Source organism: Homo sapiens, chromosome 8 (genome assembly GCF_000001405.40).
Source record: "Homo sapiens chromosome 8, GRCh38.p14 Primary Assembly".
Classification (NCBI taxonomy): domain Eukaryota; kingdom Metazoa; phylum Chordata; class Mammalia; order Primates; family Hominidae; genus Homo; species Homo sapiens.
In genome coordinates, this window is record NC_000008.11 from 1,495,071 (window position 1) to 1,510,761 (window position 15,691).

The 15,691-nt window shown below is 49.4% G+C and overlaps 1 protein-coding gene across 1 annotated transcript in view, besides 3 other annotated features; it reads left to right on the forward strand.

The window, feature by feature from the left end:
* The window catches only part of DLGAP2 (DLG associated protein 2), a 970,849-nt gene that overhangs the window by 757,443 nt on the left and 197,715 nt on the right, over positions 1–15,691 (forward strand). Inside the window, exon 4 of the mRNA NM_001346810.2 lies at positions 6,296–6,361. Within this exon, the coding sequence (NP_001333739.1) occupies positions 6,296–6,361 (66 nt within the window). The remainder of the gene's footprint in view (positions 1–6,295; positions 6,362–15,691) is intronic.
* Positions 6,439–6,967: an enhancer, noted in NCBI's record as "H3K4me1 hESC enhancer chr8:1449675-1450203 (GRCh37/hg19 assembly coordinates)". NCBI's record gives its function as "activates a minimal SCP1, AML or CMV promoter by ChIP-STARR-seq in naive H9 embryonic stem cells {active_cell/tissue: H9 hESC(naive)}" and the evidence as "EXISTENCE:reporter gene assay evidence [ECO:0000049][PMID:30033119]".
* Positions 12,001–12,502: an enhancer, noted in NCBI's record as "H3K4me1 hESC enhancer chr8:1455237-1455738 (GRCh37/hg19 assembly coordinates)". NCBI's record gives its function as "activates a minimal SCP1, AML or CMV promoter by ChIP-STARR-seq in naive H9 embryonic stem cells {active_cell/tissue: H9 hESC(naive)}" and the evidence as "EXISTENCE:reporter gene assay evidence [ECO:0000049][PMID:30033119]".
* Positions 12,503–13,002: an enhancer, noted in NCBI's record as "H3K4me1 hESC enhancer chr8:1455739-1456238 (GRCh37/hg19 assembly coordinates)". NCBI's record gives its function as "activates a minimal SCP1, AML or CMV promoter by ChIP-STARR-seq in naive H9 embryonic stem cells {active_cell/tissue: H9 hESC(naive)}" and the evidence as "EXISTENCE:reporter gene assay evidence [ECO:0000049][PMID:30033119]".

A 15,691-nucleotide genomic window follows, 5' to 3' on the forward strand; every position in this document is an offset into this window, starting at 1 on the left:
CACCAGGTGGCAGCTCAGCCCCTGGCGGTCTTGGTGCCCTCCCTTCCCTGCCAAGATCAGACGGGGGCCAGCGTCAAGGTCAATGGAGTCCTGTGGGTTCATCGTGTCGTCTTCCAGGCAAGTTGCCTGCTCGTGTGGTGGCCGTGCTGGGTCTGAACCTGTGGCCTTCCCATTGCAGGAGAAGCGACACCAGACAGCCAGTGCCAGCGTGCCAGGGCTGGCTCAGATGCCCGGCAGCTGTGGGGGAAGCATTGTCTCCACTTCCAGGACAAGGAGAGGCAGCCGAGGACGTTTACTGTCCCGTGTTACCCGGCCACACACCCCAGGGCCCTTTCTCTTCCCCTTCTGCTGTGCTGCTCTGAGCCGGAGACTGAGCCGGCCAGGGCAGCCGAGGCCAAGAGTGGCGCTGCTGAGGGGCCGCCATCATGAGGGGTCAGAATGTGGTGGGTGAGCCAGGACTGCGCTGGCCCGGCGAGGTCGGTGTGCTGAGACCACAGTGTGCTCGGGTCACAGTGGTGATTGAAACGTTTGCCTCTGCACCTACTGGGAAGCCTCTTCCTGGAGGACCCTGGCTTTGATCTGTGGTTGTGCTGACGTGGACATCTTTGCCTCGCAGGATGCAGATTGCAGACGCTCATCGTCTCGCAGGCAGCTCCAGCTCGAGTGGTGGCCGTGCTGGGTCTGTGCCCGGGGCCTTCCCCCGTATGCTTTCGCTTTCTAGTGTCTGCGATGACGTGCGATTCACTAATCACCCGGACTCAGCGCATCTCTATGTTAAATAGCGCGTGTCCATCTGCAAAGCACACGACAGCCCCTGCGGCCACTGGGTGCCGGCGCCCAGCCTGTCCCGAGAGCCTCTGACAGCCAAGGATTGGCCCAGGTGTGGCTGATGGATGAAACAAGACTGTGAGTATTCCCAGGCAGTGACGTGGGGCCCCCGGCACGGTTCTCCTTCGAGTGCCCAGAAACACAAGCCTGCCTGATACATAGAGAATGTAAAACGCCCACTGGCTTCCCTGAAAGTCAGGTTTCTTCTTGCAAGTAAGTCTACCCTAAGGCTATATGGTCCATCGGTCACTCACCTGCCCACAATCATTTCTTTCCTCTCTTCTGCCTCTTCATTGGCAGAGTGTTCTGCCTCCCTCCATCATCACTCAGGAGAGCCCTGTTGCAGGTCAGTGCAGAATCTCTACATGAGACATTGCGGTGTCGGTGGAAGCATCACAGGGCCTCGTGGGGGCGCCGAGAGGAGTGCATGGGGGTCGGAACCTGCAGGTCTGTCTGCGCCTCTGTCCTCTGAGTATGCGCTCTGCCTCTCTGGTGCTGATTTCCTCACTTTCTGGAAGGTGTTGATGATGCAGCCACCTGGGCCCGGGCCTCTGAGGACCGGTTCTGGGAAGCATCCTGCTTCCTTCCCTTCTCAAGGCGCACTGCCCGAGTCTCCCTTCCAGGAAGTGTGAGCAGCTTGTGACATTGAGACGACTCATCACTGAGCAAAGGAAGGCAAACGTGGCGCACCCAGCACAGTGATCACGGCGCCCTATGTTTGATTAAGGGCCATCACAGACCCTCTCAGATCCACCCAGACCCCTCTGGGCCACAGGGGAGCAGGACAGCCATTTCTCTGAAGCTCAAGGGTGATCAGAGATGTTAGAAAGTGCGCCTGTGTTGTGTGTTCACTCGGGACAGGTCCACGCTCTCCAGGCGGCACCCGAGGCACCGCACACGCCATCCGCACGTTCGCTGCTGTGCCCAGAGGTGTGCGTTGCTGGAGGAGGGTTGGGTGTTGACTCCAAGGAAGCACCAGGGCACAGAATAGCCAGACGACCTTGCTACAGCTCCCCCAAGATGGTTTACGGGGTCTCCAGTCACACGTTGTGGAGTATGGTTTACATGGTCTCCAGTCACACGTTATGGAATATGGTTTACGGGGTCTCCAGGTCACACGTTATGGAGCACTGCCTTCATCAAGCTCCAGCAGATGAGAAAGGTGACTCCTAAAGTACGTTCTGCCAGAGGGACCCTAAGCAAGGGGTCTGAGTGAGGAAGCCCCACCCGGAGTTGCCGCGGTGAAAGACTGTTTCTCCAGTGAAGACAGATGTGCATTCCCACGCGTGAATGGATGATTCCCAAGACTTCTCAGTCAAAGGCACGTTTTGTTTTGGCGATGGAAATGTGAGGTCAGAGGTCGGCGCTGTCAGTTTCACAGCACCGATCAGCCTCACACATGGGATGGGATAGCGTCCAGCCTCTCCCTGGGAGGTATTCAGTTTGGACCATGGGAAGTAAAGAGGCTAGGTGGAGGAAGCTTACGGTCACGTGATTTCAGAACGTCTCAGAGCGCAGAGAGAGCTGTAGTTGTATGACAGCAGCCAACGTTGGCTTCCTAGGCCAGGCGGCCCATCTTTCCAATGACTGGTGGAGCAAATGGTTCTCCTCCCTTATACGAGGAGGCCAGGAGAGAGAGATCTACCAGAAGAAGGAGGATTTCCTTGTCTCTTTAAGCATAGATAAGGGCATTTCTGAGGTCGCTGAGATGGTAATTAGCATTTCTCCCATGCTGTCCCAGATGCGGAAGATGTAAGGAAGAACATGGCTCTACCTATGGCCTGTCCAGGCGAACAGGGTTCTTGCCTAGTGAGGGTTCTGAACTGGGGGTGGGAACGTGGTAGAAGTACGGTAGTCCCCGCTGTCCACGGGGACATGTTCCAAGACCCCTAGCAGATGCCTGAAACCTCAGCCAGTACCAACACTTGTAGGTAGATTTTTCCTGTTGTCGACAAAAAGAGTTGAACTCTGTAAAGTATTTTGAAGGGGTTTATTCTGAGCCAAAGATGAATGACCCACAGCCCGTGGCACAGCCCTCAGGAGATCCTGAGAACATGTGTCCAGTGTGGTCAAGATACAGCTTTTGGTTTTATACACTTTAGGGAGACATAAGCCATTGGTCACTACCTGTAGATGTACCTTGGTTGGGTCTGGAAAGGCAGGACAACTGGAAGTGAGGCCTCCCAAGTCATTATGGAGTCAAACATTTTCCGATTGGCCATTGGTTGAAAGAGTTAAATTATTGTCTGAAGACCTAGAATTCATAGAAAGCGATGTCTGGGTGAAGATAAGGGGTTGTGGAGATGCAGTTCCCACCGTGCAGAGGAAGCCTCCAGGCAGCAGGCTGCAAAGAGGATGGATGGTAAGTGTTTCTTATCAGAGTCAATTCTCTCCTGGATCTGGGAAAAGGAAGGAAAAAGAAGGGAATTCTCTTCAGAATGTAGATTTTCCTGCACTATTTCAAGATACGGCAAAATAAATAAAAAAAAAAAAATTACACATTCGGGATGGAAATATTTTTATTTTGTTCTTTATCTGTCACGTGATGTGCCCGAGTCAGGTTGGAAAGTGAGCCATGTTATGTAGGGTAAAGAAAACCCCTCTAATGAGACTCCGTGGTTTGTAGGGCATGACTCCCCAGGCCCCTTGGATGGGAATTTGGGCAAGAGCAGAAGAAAGCCAGAGTGCAGAGCTCACTGTGTCTGTGCAGCCGTGATAAAGCTCAGCACATACGTTAAGCACAGTAAGAGAGTAACCTGAATAACTGTAATGAAATCGGCATTTATAACAATCTACTTTAATAAAACGTATGTGAATGTGGTCTCTGTTTCTCTCTCAAAGCAGCTTATTTCATACCTCAGTGACTGAAGCCACAGGAAGAGAACCTCCAAGAAGGGGGTGCTGCCCTGTACAAAATGTAGGCTGAAAATACAAAGCCTCGTTAGATAAGGAAGGATGGTACCCACAGTTATACTGACACACATGCTGCATTAAGCTCTCCCAGCTAGAAGGCCACACCGCACTCGGAAACCTTCCATGCATGTACCCTCAGCCCATGCTGGATTGTTAACTTTGAACGGTGTCACCTGAGCCACACAGCTTCCAGACCTCCTGTTCTCTCATCTGATAAACAGCAAGGGCGGGTGGGAGGAGATCAGGCAAGGAAGCGTTTGTACTCCTGCAATTCAAGGCTGACCTTCAAACGTCCCCACTCCTCATTCTTGGAGTGCTGTTCTCAAGATAATTAGGTGTGTTCCTCCAGCAAATCGCAGGCTTCCGATACCAAGCTTGTGCTCTGTGTGAAGCACGTGGCTTTGCTAAACTCCATGCCTGTTGCTGCTGGTGTTGTTAGCGGAGTGCTCATGCTTGTCATTGCAACTGGGTGATGTTGGCCCATCCTTCAAGTCCGCCCTGTGAGAGCCCCTGCCTTGTCTCTGTGTGCATGTGTGCTGAAAGTCTGGTGTAAGGAGGGCTGAGGTTGAAGGGCCCATTGTTTTAGTTCATCCCCAAATTCCTTTCTCACACAGCTGGACGCTCTGTTCTCACATTACTCACACATATGACGATGGTCTCCATGGAAACTGTAGTTAATTAGAGCTGTCCATCATATTTCTACATGAATGAGACCATTCCAGTCTGTGGTTTTATGTTATACTTAATGTGGACATTTGGCAGATGTATTTCATTAGCTGAAAAACGCAGCTTAAACTATGCAAAAAGTGCTGTTAGCCTTGAAGAAATGGGGTTATGTTAAATCATTTGAGCTGTCTTGTAAGATACTTAACTTAATTCAGATAGCTATTTCTTATACATGTGTGTTTTTTTAAAAGCTGTAACTGGGAGATCCCATGAAATGAACTCTTAGTTCACATTTACCTGAGAGGCGACCGTATCCTCTTCATCAGCATCTCACATTCCAAATCTGTCATCTTCCTTTCCCAAACCTCTACGAACTTATTGAAAATGGCAGATGCCGATTTGTTGAATCAGAGATGGTGATTGCAGTGTAAGTGGCTCCAGCATCACACTCTGAAATAAATCCGTTTGCAGACTACAGCCTGGCTAACTGCATCTAACACTTGGGTGGGGGGGGTGGGGGCAAATGTGAGATGTGCCTCAAAGCCTGTCCATGAATATTGGAAACCCACATATGTGTGTGAATACATGCCTAGAGTCTGAACATGCAATCATATTTATATTTGGGGCATATATGCCAAAATGGTGACAAAGATGTGTGTACGCACATGTGTCATCATTCTGATACCCCATAAATAACATGTTTACATGCACATGTAACGTGGTGCCAAATTCTCCCTTATCTGATGCTCCCTGCCCCCCTCCTCAGGCCACTCCCCACACCACTCACTGTGGCTGGTGTCGGGCAGAGCCTCCCTGAGATCCAGCTGTGTCTACACTGCCTCTGCAGCCAGGTAGAAACCAAGGCAGCCTGGAGAGTCGGCACCTGGTTTCCTGGGCAGAGCCTCCCTGAGATCCAGCTGTGTCTGCACTGCCTCTGCAGCCAGGTAGAAACCAAGGCAGCCTGGAGAGTCGGCACCTGGTTTCCTGGGCAGAGCCTCCCTGAGATCCAGCTGTGTCTGCACTGCCTCTGCAGCCTGGTAGAAACCAAGGCAGCCTGGAGAGTCGGCACCTGGTTTCCTGGGCAGAGCCCACTGGGAGGAGAGCTACGGGATGATGCTCAGTCCAGCTCCTCAGGGACCAGTTAAATCAAGTGACAAGCTTGTCTGTCTCCCCAGTTCCCTGTTGCCCCACACATGGAGGGAAGACAGTGCTCAGTGACCCCAAGACCTTTTACAGCCACATGCTGATGTCATTCTAAGAAAGTGATGTCTGCTTTTGTGTTAGCACAGATCGAACAATGGAAAATCAATGCCAGTGACCTGGGTGATCTCCCAACAGAGGGAAATTAAATCAGCGTTTTGGTCAAAGTGGACCTAATATGAACTAATATTAAGCACTAAGATCACAAATGCAGGCTTTGAACATTGCAAAATGAGGCTTCGAATGGCATGAAGCTTTCTAGACCGGAAGGAAAGTCTTTCTCATGGGCGATGCAGGGCCCTCATGGGACTCACCCAGCTGGAAGGAACCGGGGAAAATTAGAGTGGACTGATTTTACTCAAGTCTGTTCCAATGCAAATAAGGCCTAATAAATTTGAAGTTAGGCCAGAGTTAAAGCTGAGAATCATTGGGACTCACTGCCTATGTCCGTGTCTAGGTGGGAGAAATACGTGCATCTGTGGTCACAATGCTGCTTTACAGAAAACACTGGTTGTTCCTGAGGTTATTGGCACAAAATGCTGGGCTCTGAGCGGTGACGTTTGAAGAAATACAAAGGTGTCTGTCATGTTTGAACTGTTGAGTGTGGAGGGTTTTGAAGATGTGCAGGGAATGACTGCAGTCTACACCAGAAACGCATTAAAGAGTGACTTTGTTTCTGTCTTTGCAGAGGAAGAAGCTGGAGACTTGGTCCAGCCGGGCATCAGCTTTCCGGGGCCGGCAGAGGAGGATCTAGGTAGAGTACAGACGTCAGCCCCGCTCTGGCGGGGCCCGGACAGAACCGGGCATGCTCCGGGCACCTCCCATCATGCGGACCGTCCCACAAACACACGTTAGCATGTTTAGAAAGGGAGCTAAGAAGAACTAAGTACAATGCGGCACTTTTTTCCAAAAATAATAGTTTTTAAGCATTACGGAAGTGCTAGGTGAGGAAGGGCTGCTCCTGGCCCTCAGGAACTGAGGCAGCCGTTCACATAAACGATGCATGTCTCCAGAGGTGAAGGACCCCTCCTTCCCTTGCTCCTCTGTGTCTAAACATATTCTAAGCAAACTCAGGAAGCAGGGTGTTCCCGCATTTGCATTTTTCATGTAGACCTTCCTTGGCAGGAAGCAGCTCATCTCTCCAGCTGGCCCCACACACTGGGGTCTGGATGCTGAGTATGACTGTGCGCTTCCTTCCAAGGGCCCTGCGAGAGGCTGCCACGACACACTTTCCCCGATGCTGGTTCAAATCACGTGGAAATTTCATTTCTGAGCTGCCACCAGCACAGCAAAGCTGGTGCCATATTTGCCATCAGTCTTTTGACATGGAGCTATGCTTACAAGAACAAGGCCCAATGCTTCTGTTAAAGATGTGAAATGTTGAATACATCTGACATCAAACTGTTGAATAAAATCAACGTCAAACCACAGCTGAAGACGGAAGCCCCATCAGTGGCTCTGTCTGTGGTTATTCTCTAACCTAAAAGAGGTTTGTTGCTGTCTGTGGTTATTCTCTAACCTAAAAGATTGTCAGCCTCTTTCTCAAGCCACTGACAGCTGTCTGCAGTGACAGCACTCAGGGCTGGGTCTCGGATCATAAGTTCAATTTATATTTAAATGTACATTTTTAAAAACGTATTTCAGACTTTTAGCCAGTGCATCTATTGCTGGTTTGATTTGCCTAAAGAATAATATCGAAAATTGAAGGAGTCCACTTTGTATAAAGCTGTGATTTTTGTTAAAGAAAACTACAGCCAAAAAGTGTTTGCTTTTCAATATAAGATGATGGAAATGGGTAGAGTTCTAAAGGATGACCGTCCATTATCCACTGCAACTGAGTCCTAGATTTGTTGCTAACTGACGTTCTACACAGCCTTTCTTCACTCGGAAATAGACGAGTGAAAGTATTTCGACTTCTCATTAGGAAGGAACAGTGGCTATCATGTTTGAATAATTATGCATCTGTTTTTTTAAACCTCAGTCTGGCAATACTCCATCGCGATGAATCTTCACTACTCAGCCTGCCTGGGGAGGCTTCCAAATGCACGGGACTCATTTGACGTTTGTTTTCTTGAGGCTTTGGAGGTAGCTCAGCTGCCTTTGCACTGTCTCTGGACAATGTTAATGTCATAGTTGTGTCTATTCCAGTTCTTCTCCATAGCAGCGGCGCCCACGTGCCCCAGGGGCCTTCTCTGGGGCAGCAGGAGGTACCTGGGGTGGTTCTGCTTGGGCTCAGGCACAGTGAAAAGAACCTGGAGGCTGGAGCAGGGGGCACAGAACTGAAACAAGAGTGCAGGAGTCACTCTGGGGAGGCCAGCTTTGCCTGGATTCTGACCCTGGACTCCGTGGTTGAGAGTTTGTTTGTTCTGCAGCCACACAAGTGAGCATCGAGGGATGAGGCTGGGGGGCGAAGGAGGCAGAATGTCACATGGGTGGCTTGGTGAAGGCTGGATTGTAGGGACAGAAAGCATTTTTTCATCTTAGCCCTTTGTAAGTAAGTTCAACAGCATTAAATGCATTCATGTTGCTGTATAGCCGTCAGCACCTCTGTCTCTAGAACTTTTTCCTCTTCTGCAAGTAAAACTCTGTCCCCATGAAACACTCAGTCCCTTTCCCCTCCCCAGCCCTGGAACCCCCATTCTGCTTTCTGTCTCTGAAACTGACTCCTCCAGGGCCCTCCTAGAAGTGGAACCACACAGGATTTGTTGTTTTGTGACTGCTCATTTCACATGGGGTAATGTCTTCTTGTTACTGCATGTATCAATGTGTCACACGCCCTTTCTGTTGAAGGCTGAGCCACACTGCACTTTGTGGATGGACCACACTGGTTTCCATTCCTCCGTGGACAGACCCCGGGTCGCTTCTCCTTGGCCAGTGTGAATGGTACTGCTGTGAACACGGAGTGCAGCTCTCTCTCCACGTCACTGTTTTCGGTTCATTTGGGTAAATGTCCAGAAGTGGAATTGGTGGATCCCATGGTGAAGCGATGCTTCCTCGTTTTGAGGAACCTCCACACTGCTTAGGGACAGGGTGTGCTTTGCGAGCTGCCTCTACAGTCTTGCCATGGGGTGGGGGTTGGCCATTGTAAGAATGAGAAGGGTCAGATGTTAGAAGCTCTGGAAAGAAGGAAATGAGAGAATTTGGTGACGGTTGGCTGAGAGGACCCTCAAACACGTGCCTGGCTTTCCCCTCTTGGGGTGGTACGTGGGTGGAGGACTCTGGAGGGAGAGGGAGGAACTGCTGTAGCCATCTGGTGAGCCCAGGGACCTGAAGCAGCCAGGTGCAGGCACACGGTGACCTGGAGTCACAAGATTTGTGCAGAAGTGCACCTCGTGAGGAAGGTGGACGCATTGGTTCCAGGGAGGCCTTTTAGCCCATTCGTGCAAATATTAGGTCTTGACCCTGGTTCTATGTCAGTCAGGATCACTTGGGGAAAGTTTAAAAACATACCAGTGCCCAGGCCCCACCTGATGTATTTGTCTGAGAAAGGACTTGGCCATTGTCGTCTTTAAAAGTTCTTTACCTGATGCTTTTTTTTTTAATGGAAGAAACGCTTCTTGTTTTACTTTAAAAATATTTTTTCTAGCTTTATTAAGTTATATTCACGGATATAAATTGTGTGTATAGTATACAACGTGATGTTTTGATACAGGTATACGTTGTGAGATAAGTCAACAAAGCTAGTTAACATCTTGCCACCTCACATCCTTATCATCACCTTGTGCTTTTAAGAACATTTAAGATCTCATCTCTTAGCAGTTTTCAAGTAAACAAACCATTTAACTGTGGCCACCACGTGGTACCATAGACCTCGTCACTTACTCCTCTTGTCTAACTGAAATGCTGCACCCTTCCGCCAACATCCTCCCAGTTCCCCCCAACCCTCTCTCTGTTGACCACTGTTCTACCCTCTGCTTCTGAGTTCTATGCTTTCAGATTCCACGTGTAAGTGAGGTCACGCGGCACCTGTCTTTCTGTGCCTGGCTTGTTCCACTTAGCATGATGTCCTCCAGGCTCATCTATGTTGTTGCAAATGCTAGGATTTCTCACTTTTTAAGACTGAGTAGGTATTCCACATTTTCTTTGTCTGTGCCTCTGCTGATGGGCTTGAGGTTGGTTCTGCGTGTTGGCTGTGGTGAACAGCATCTTAACGAACACGAGAGAGCAGATACCCCTTCCACACATCCATTTTATTCCCTTCAGAAAAATACCCAGAAGTGGGATTCCTGGATTATTCCTTTATCATTCTAATGTACCCCTAGGATTGAGAATCCTGATATAAAACATATGAAAGGATAATTAAGAGAAAAAGCAAAAAACACAAAAAGAAAGGAAGGAAGAAGGAAGGAAAGAGGGAGGGAAGGATATCTGAGTTATGTTCCCAACACTATCATAACAACATTGGGAGCAAATAGCATTATTTTAGACATTTGTTTTTCCAAATTGAGTGTTCCAATCTCCTCATCTTTAAATTGAGAGGGTTAAATGATGATTTTTAAGGGATCTTCCCAGTCACGAATTTATGGATCTATAATTCTACTGGGTCAAATTAAAATTAAAAACACTTCATAATGATCTTGATGCTATTATAGTGAATGAGTAACTATCATTTCCAAAATGCTGTGGGACATTTTACAGCACAGTATAGGTTAAAGTCATAAAGCAATGAAGTGACATTTGCTTCTGGTCCTATTTCAAAGCATCAATCTTTTTTTTCCAACTCCCCTCAGTCTTCAAAAGCTCCAAGGAAAGCTGAGTAGCATTGGCTGAAGAGCTTAAGATACCATTAGTGCCAGATGAATTAATAAAACCGCCCACACTTGTGTTATTAGCCATTACCTCTTAAGAGCATTTGCGTTCTCTGAAGCTCATAGAGTGTAATGTATGAAAAGTAATTTTATGATGGGGAAAATGGCTGTGAAATATAGGAGGATAAGGAAGTTTTCCATAAAATTAAAGTCACTGATAAAATGAATTAATGTAGCACATTCAAAACGAATACCTTGAAAGAGAAAAACCTCACTTTTTCCAGAAGAAATGTTTCTAGGGAAGACCTTCAGACACACTAGAATTAAATTGCTCTCTTAATAACTTTTGTAACATTGGCTCATTATGACGTTACTTCTAAGAATGGCATTTTTTCATTTTCCCGAATGTTATATTTAAATCAGCTGTAAAGAGTTGGTGATTTATTTGCATCTATGAAGAGTGCTATATTGACCCAAATTTTGCATTGATAAATGAATGCAAAATGAAATTTTAAAAAGTTGGCAGATTAAATTATCAAAGTATATTAAGCACATATTATATATGCAGCACAACACTGAGAAAATGTACACACTGTGTAATTTTGAAATACCTGAATATTAAAATAATACTTAGAGCCTTCCACCTGGCAGGCACATAGATTGTGAACATGTTTTTATATAATAGAACATCAGCTAGCATAGCTTTAATCATCTCCACAGCATTTAAGTGCACCAATGTCTCATTCTAATGTTAATACATATCTTGTCTCACAGGAATTCCCCTTGGGATGTTTATTTTTGTGTGTTCTTTCAAAAAACAAAAACCCAGCTCTACCTATACTTGTCATTTTATCGTCCATACTTATTTTCTTCAGGGAAATTTATAGAAATAGCGGAAGTGTATTACATTGTAGGTTCTTGGTCTCACTGACGTCAAGAATGAAGCTGTGGACCTTTTGGGTGAGTGTCCGGAGTTTGTTCCTTTTAATGTTCAGACGTTTTTGGAGTTTCTTCCTTCTGGTCGGTTTGTGGTCTCAATGGCCTCAGGAGTGAAGCTGCAGATCTTCGCGGTGAGTGTTGCAGCTCATAAAAGGAGTGCGGACCCAAAGAGTGAGCAACAGCAAGATTTAGTGCATACAGCGTAAAAATTAAGCATCCACACTGCCCAAGACGATCTCAGCAGGTTGCCAGTGCCGGCTCAGGCAGACTGCTTTTATTCCCTTATCTGGCCCCACCCACATCCTGCTGATTGGTCCATTTTACAGAGAGCTGATTGGTCTGTTTTACAAAGAGCTGATTGGTCTGTTTTGACAGGGTGCTGATTGGTGCATTTACAATCCCTGAGCTAGACAAAGAGTGCTGATTGGTGCATTTACAATCCTCTATCTAGACATAAAAGTTTTCCAAGTCCCCACTAGATGAGCTAGACACAGAGCATAGATTGGTGCATTTACAAACCTTGAGCTAGACACAGAGTGCTGATTGGTGCATTTACAATCCTCTAGCTAGACATAAAAGTTCTCCAAGTCCCCACCAGATTAGCTAGATACAGGGTGCTGATTGGTGCATCTACAAACCTTTTGCTAGACACAGAGTTCTCATTGGTGCATTTACAATCTCCTAGCTACACATAAAAGTTCTCCAAGTCCCCACCGGACTCAGGAGCCCAGCTGGCTTCACCTAGCGGATCCTGCGCTGGGGCCACGGGCAGAGCTGCCTGCCAGGCGCCTGCACTCCTCAGCCCTTGGAGGGTCAATGGGACCGGGCGCCGCGGAGCAGGGGGCAGCGTCCATCAGGGAGGCTTGGGCCGCGCGGGAGCCCACCGCGAGGGGGAGGCTCAGGCATGGCGGGCTGCAGGTCCCGAGCCCTGTCCCACGGGGAGGCAGCTGAGGCCCGGGGAGATTTGGCGTGCAGCGCCGGTGGGCCAGCACTGCTGGGGGACCCAGCACATCCTCCGCAGCTGCTGGCCCAGGTGCTGAGCCCTTCACTGCCCCGCTGGCGCTGGCCGGCCGCTCCAAGTGCGGGGCCGCGGAGCCCGCGCCCACCCAGAACTCGCGCTGGCCCATGAGCCCACACCTCTCCCTCCACGCCTCCCCGCAAGCAGAGGGAGCCGGCTCCGGCCTCGGCCAGCCCCCAGGGCAGTGGCTGGCTGAAGGGCTCCTCAAGTGCGGCCGGAGTGGGCGCCGAGGCGGAGGAGGCGCCGGGAGTGAGTGAGGGCTGCCAGCATGCTGTCACCTCTCAGAAGCAGTGATGTGCTGAGCTTCTGTCTAGAAAGAAGGTAGCAGTCCACCCTCCTGTCTCCCAGGCATTCGTTCACCCAGGTCCTCAGCCACCGAGTCTTCCTCCTTCACCCACGACCCTCCTTCACCCACCACCCTCCCTCCACCCACCACCCTCCCTCCCAGGCATCCTGTAGCCTCCACCACCACACTTCCTGGGAGGTTCAGGCTTCAGCCTTGACCTTCCTGCACTGCCCAATGGGAGCATCGTGACCACACATTTTAGGAGAAGGCTCCTTCCCCACTGTGACATCAAACACGTGGTCACATGAAAGGCCTAGTCTGTGGCACAGGAAAGGGGCCCTGAGGTGCAGGGGAGGGTCATTGTCAGTTAATCACATGAAAGCTCACCAGGGCACACTGCATTTTAACAACCCCGTTTTTAAATTTTATTTCCACACAAACACATCAGATACCTTTAAAGTTAGACACATCTAACATTTGTGGAACTTAGGATGCCAGGGCTTTTCATCTGAATTTCTGGGGTGCATTTACAGCTTTTCTCCTAAACATCACGCGTCCCATTCTGGCCTCCTGAAGGGCGGTGCCTGCTCCCGGGCTGCCCCCTGCCATACCCCGCAAACCCCCGCCACCCCCTGCAAACGCCCACCACCCCCCACCCCTCACCACCCCCCGCAAACCCCCGCAAACCCCCGCCACCCCCTGCAAACGCCCACCACCCCCCACCCCCCCACCCCTCACCACCCCCTGCAAACCCCCACCCCCCCCCGCAAACCCCCGCCACCCTCTGCAAACCCCCGCCACCCCCTGCAAACGCCCACCACCCCCCACCCCTCACCACCCCCTGCAAACCCCCGCCACCACGCGCACATCGCTGTTGATCATTGCTGCCTCCACGCGCGCCGACATCCATTCAAACAGCAATTGCTGGTGTTTTCTCCTCTGTGGGATGTGCCAGTAAGAATGACCTGGAAGCTCCCAGACATACGTAGCAGGCTCAACGTGGCGGGGGAGTTGGAAGGAAAAATGGAATCCACAACTGCTGCGCACAGGAGGGAAATGAACCCAGTGCCCGCAGGAGGCGCTGACGGCGTTCCCTAAAAACACCGAGCAGGCAAATGAGTGCGGACTAAGCGCCCGGGGAAGACGGGGAAGACGGGGCCAGGCTCGGGCTCCGGGGATTCGTAGGATCTCCAGAGGGGATCATTTGTAGTTAAGGATCTAATATTGCCACATTCTCAATGGTTTTCTGTTCTGCAGTTCTTTAGAGCACTGAGTTTTAAACCATGGGCTGCAACTCATTAATGACCCGTGAATTCAAGTTACTGGTCACTGCCAGCAAATTTTTAAATGGAAACAAAAATACAACAGAGAAGTATAGACTAGGCCGGGCACGGTGGCTCACGCCTGTAATCTCAGCACTTTGGGAGGCCGAGGCGGGCGGATCACGAGGTCAGGAGATCGAGACCATCCTGCCTAAAGCTGTAAAACCCCGTCTCTACTAAAATACAAAATATTAGCCGGGCATGGTGGCGGGCGCCTGTAATCCCAGCTACTCGAGAGGCTGAGGCGGAAGAATTGCTTGAACCCCGGAGGCAGAGATTGCAGTGAGCTGATATTACGCCTCTGTGCTCCGGCCTGGCAACAGAGCAAGACTCCGTCCAAAAAAAAAAAAAAAACCGTATAGACTAGAAAATACCAAAGTACACTCTGGATAATAAGAGCACATGTCTAATGAAACATTTTTTGGGTGTGTGCGTGTGGGTGTGTGTGTTAGGTTCTGATGTAAAATATACGTCTTATTGTGGAATATAATCCAAAAAGTTTGAAAGCCCTTGGCAGGAGCAATACCTTGCAGCCATCAGGGTGGTGCAGAGAAAGGAAGTCGCTTTTGTGCTGTCTCGGTGTTTGAAACAGGAAGCAGTGCGTGTCGTGGGTTCTCAGAGGCAGGTTCTGCAGGCAAAGCCTCCGCACATACACTGGAACTTGAGCAATTCACCCACCTCTCCTGTTCTTCTCATTCTTTGTTTGTTAACAAAAAGAGAAGGGATCGTAACCTTCCTACCTCGTTGGAATTTTAAGATAATTAAATATGGTAATATAAGACCTTAGAGCAAGGTGTGGCTCACAGCAAGTGTTCAATGTCAGTTTTTACCATGATTAGTATCATTGTCATCATTGCTCATACGCTGTGACCAGGTAACCCAGCATCACCTGTCCAGGTTTAAAGGTGCATTCAGGAGGTTTCAGGAGTGCAGCTCTGGAGGACGCGGCCGCGGAGAGGAGTCGGTGTAATACTCCAGACAGATGTCCACGTTAACTTCATGTGTTTCCCGAACATGATTTCCATGACAACTAATTTATTTGCATATTGCAGTAACTGAAAACACAGACTTCTGTAATTTTAGATTCTGAAGAGTTTTTTGTAAGGATTTGCCCCTTTAACTGCCTGTAAATTACAAGCACGCTCCCGTGCAAATGGGCATTCGAAAAGGAGTCGGAATTTGTCCCTGGGAGGTATTTGTGATTTAGATGGAAAATTAAATAGAAACAGGCTGGCTTTCCCTGGACAACAGCGATAACTTGCTGATGTGTTTGGAGGTCAGCCTGTGGCTGTGAAGTGTGGCTTCCAGGCTCATAGGAAGTGAAGGTCCGCTGTCGGGACCTTGCCAGCCTCGTTGCCCCAGATGTCAGGCTTCCAGAGGAACTCTGCAGTGCGTGACGAACGTATTGTTGCATCCTCTGAAGAGCTGAGAAACGTCATCAGTTTGTGATGCCTGGGCCACTCCGTGAAAGTGCTGTCAAGGATGGGAAGGTCCAGTTTTGTGGCAGGTCCAAGGGTTGAACACGACGAAGGAGGGACAAGGAAAGGAACTGCCTCCCACCTGTCACTCTGCGTGGGCTCCCTGCGTTCTGGTGCCTTGGTCAATATGCTTAACGCCACAGCAAACATGAAGGTCACAGGACGCGCATTCTCATTCTGCAGGTGAGGAAACTGAGGCACAGAGAGAGTGGTGACTTCTCCAAGGTCATTAGTGAATGAGTGGCCAGTCTAGGTCTGAACCAAGCCAAACCCTGTAGGACCTTTTGAGTATC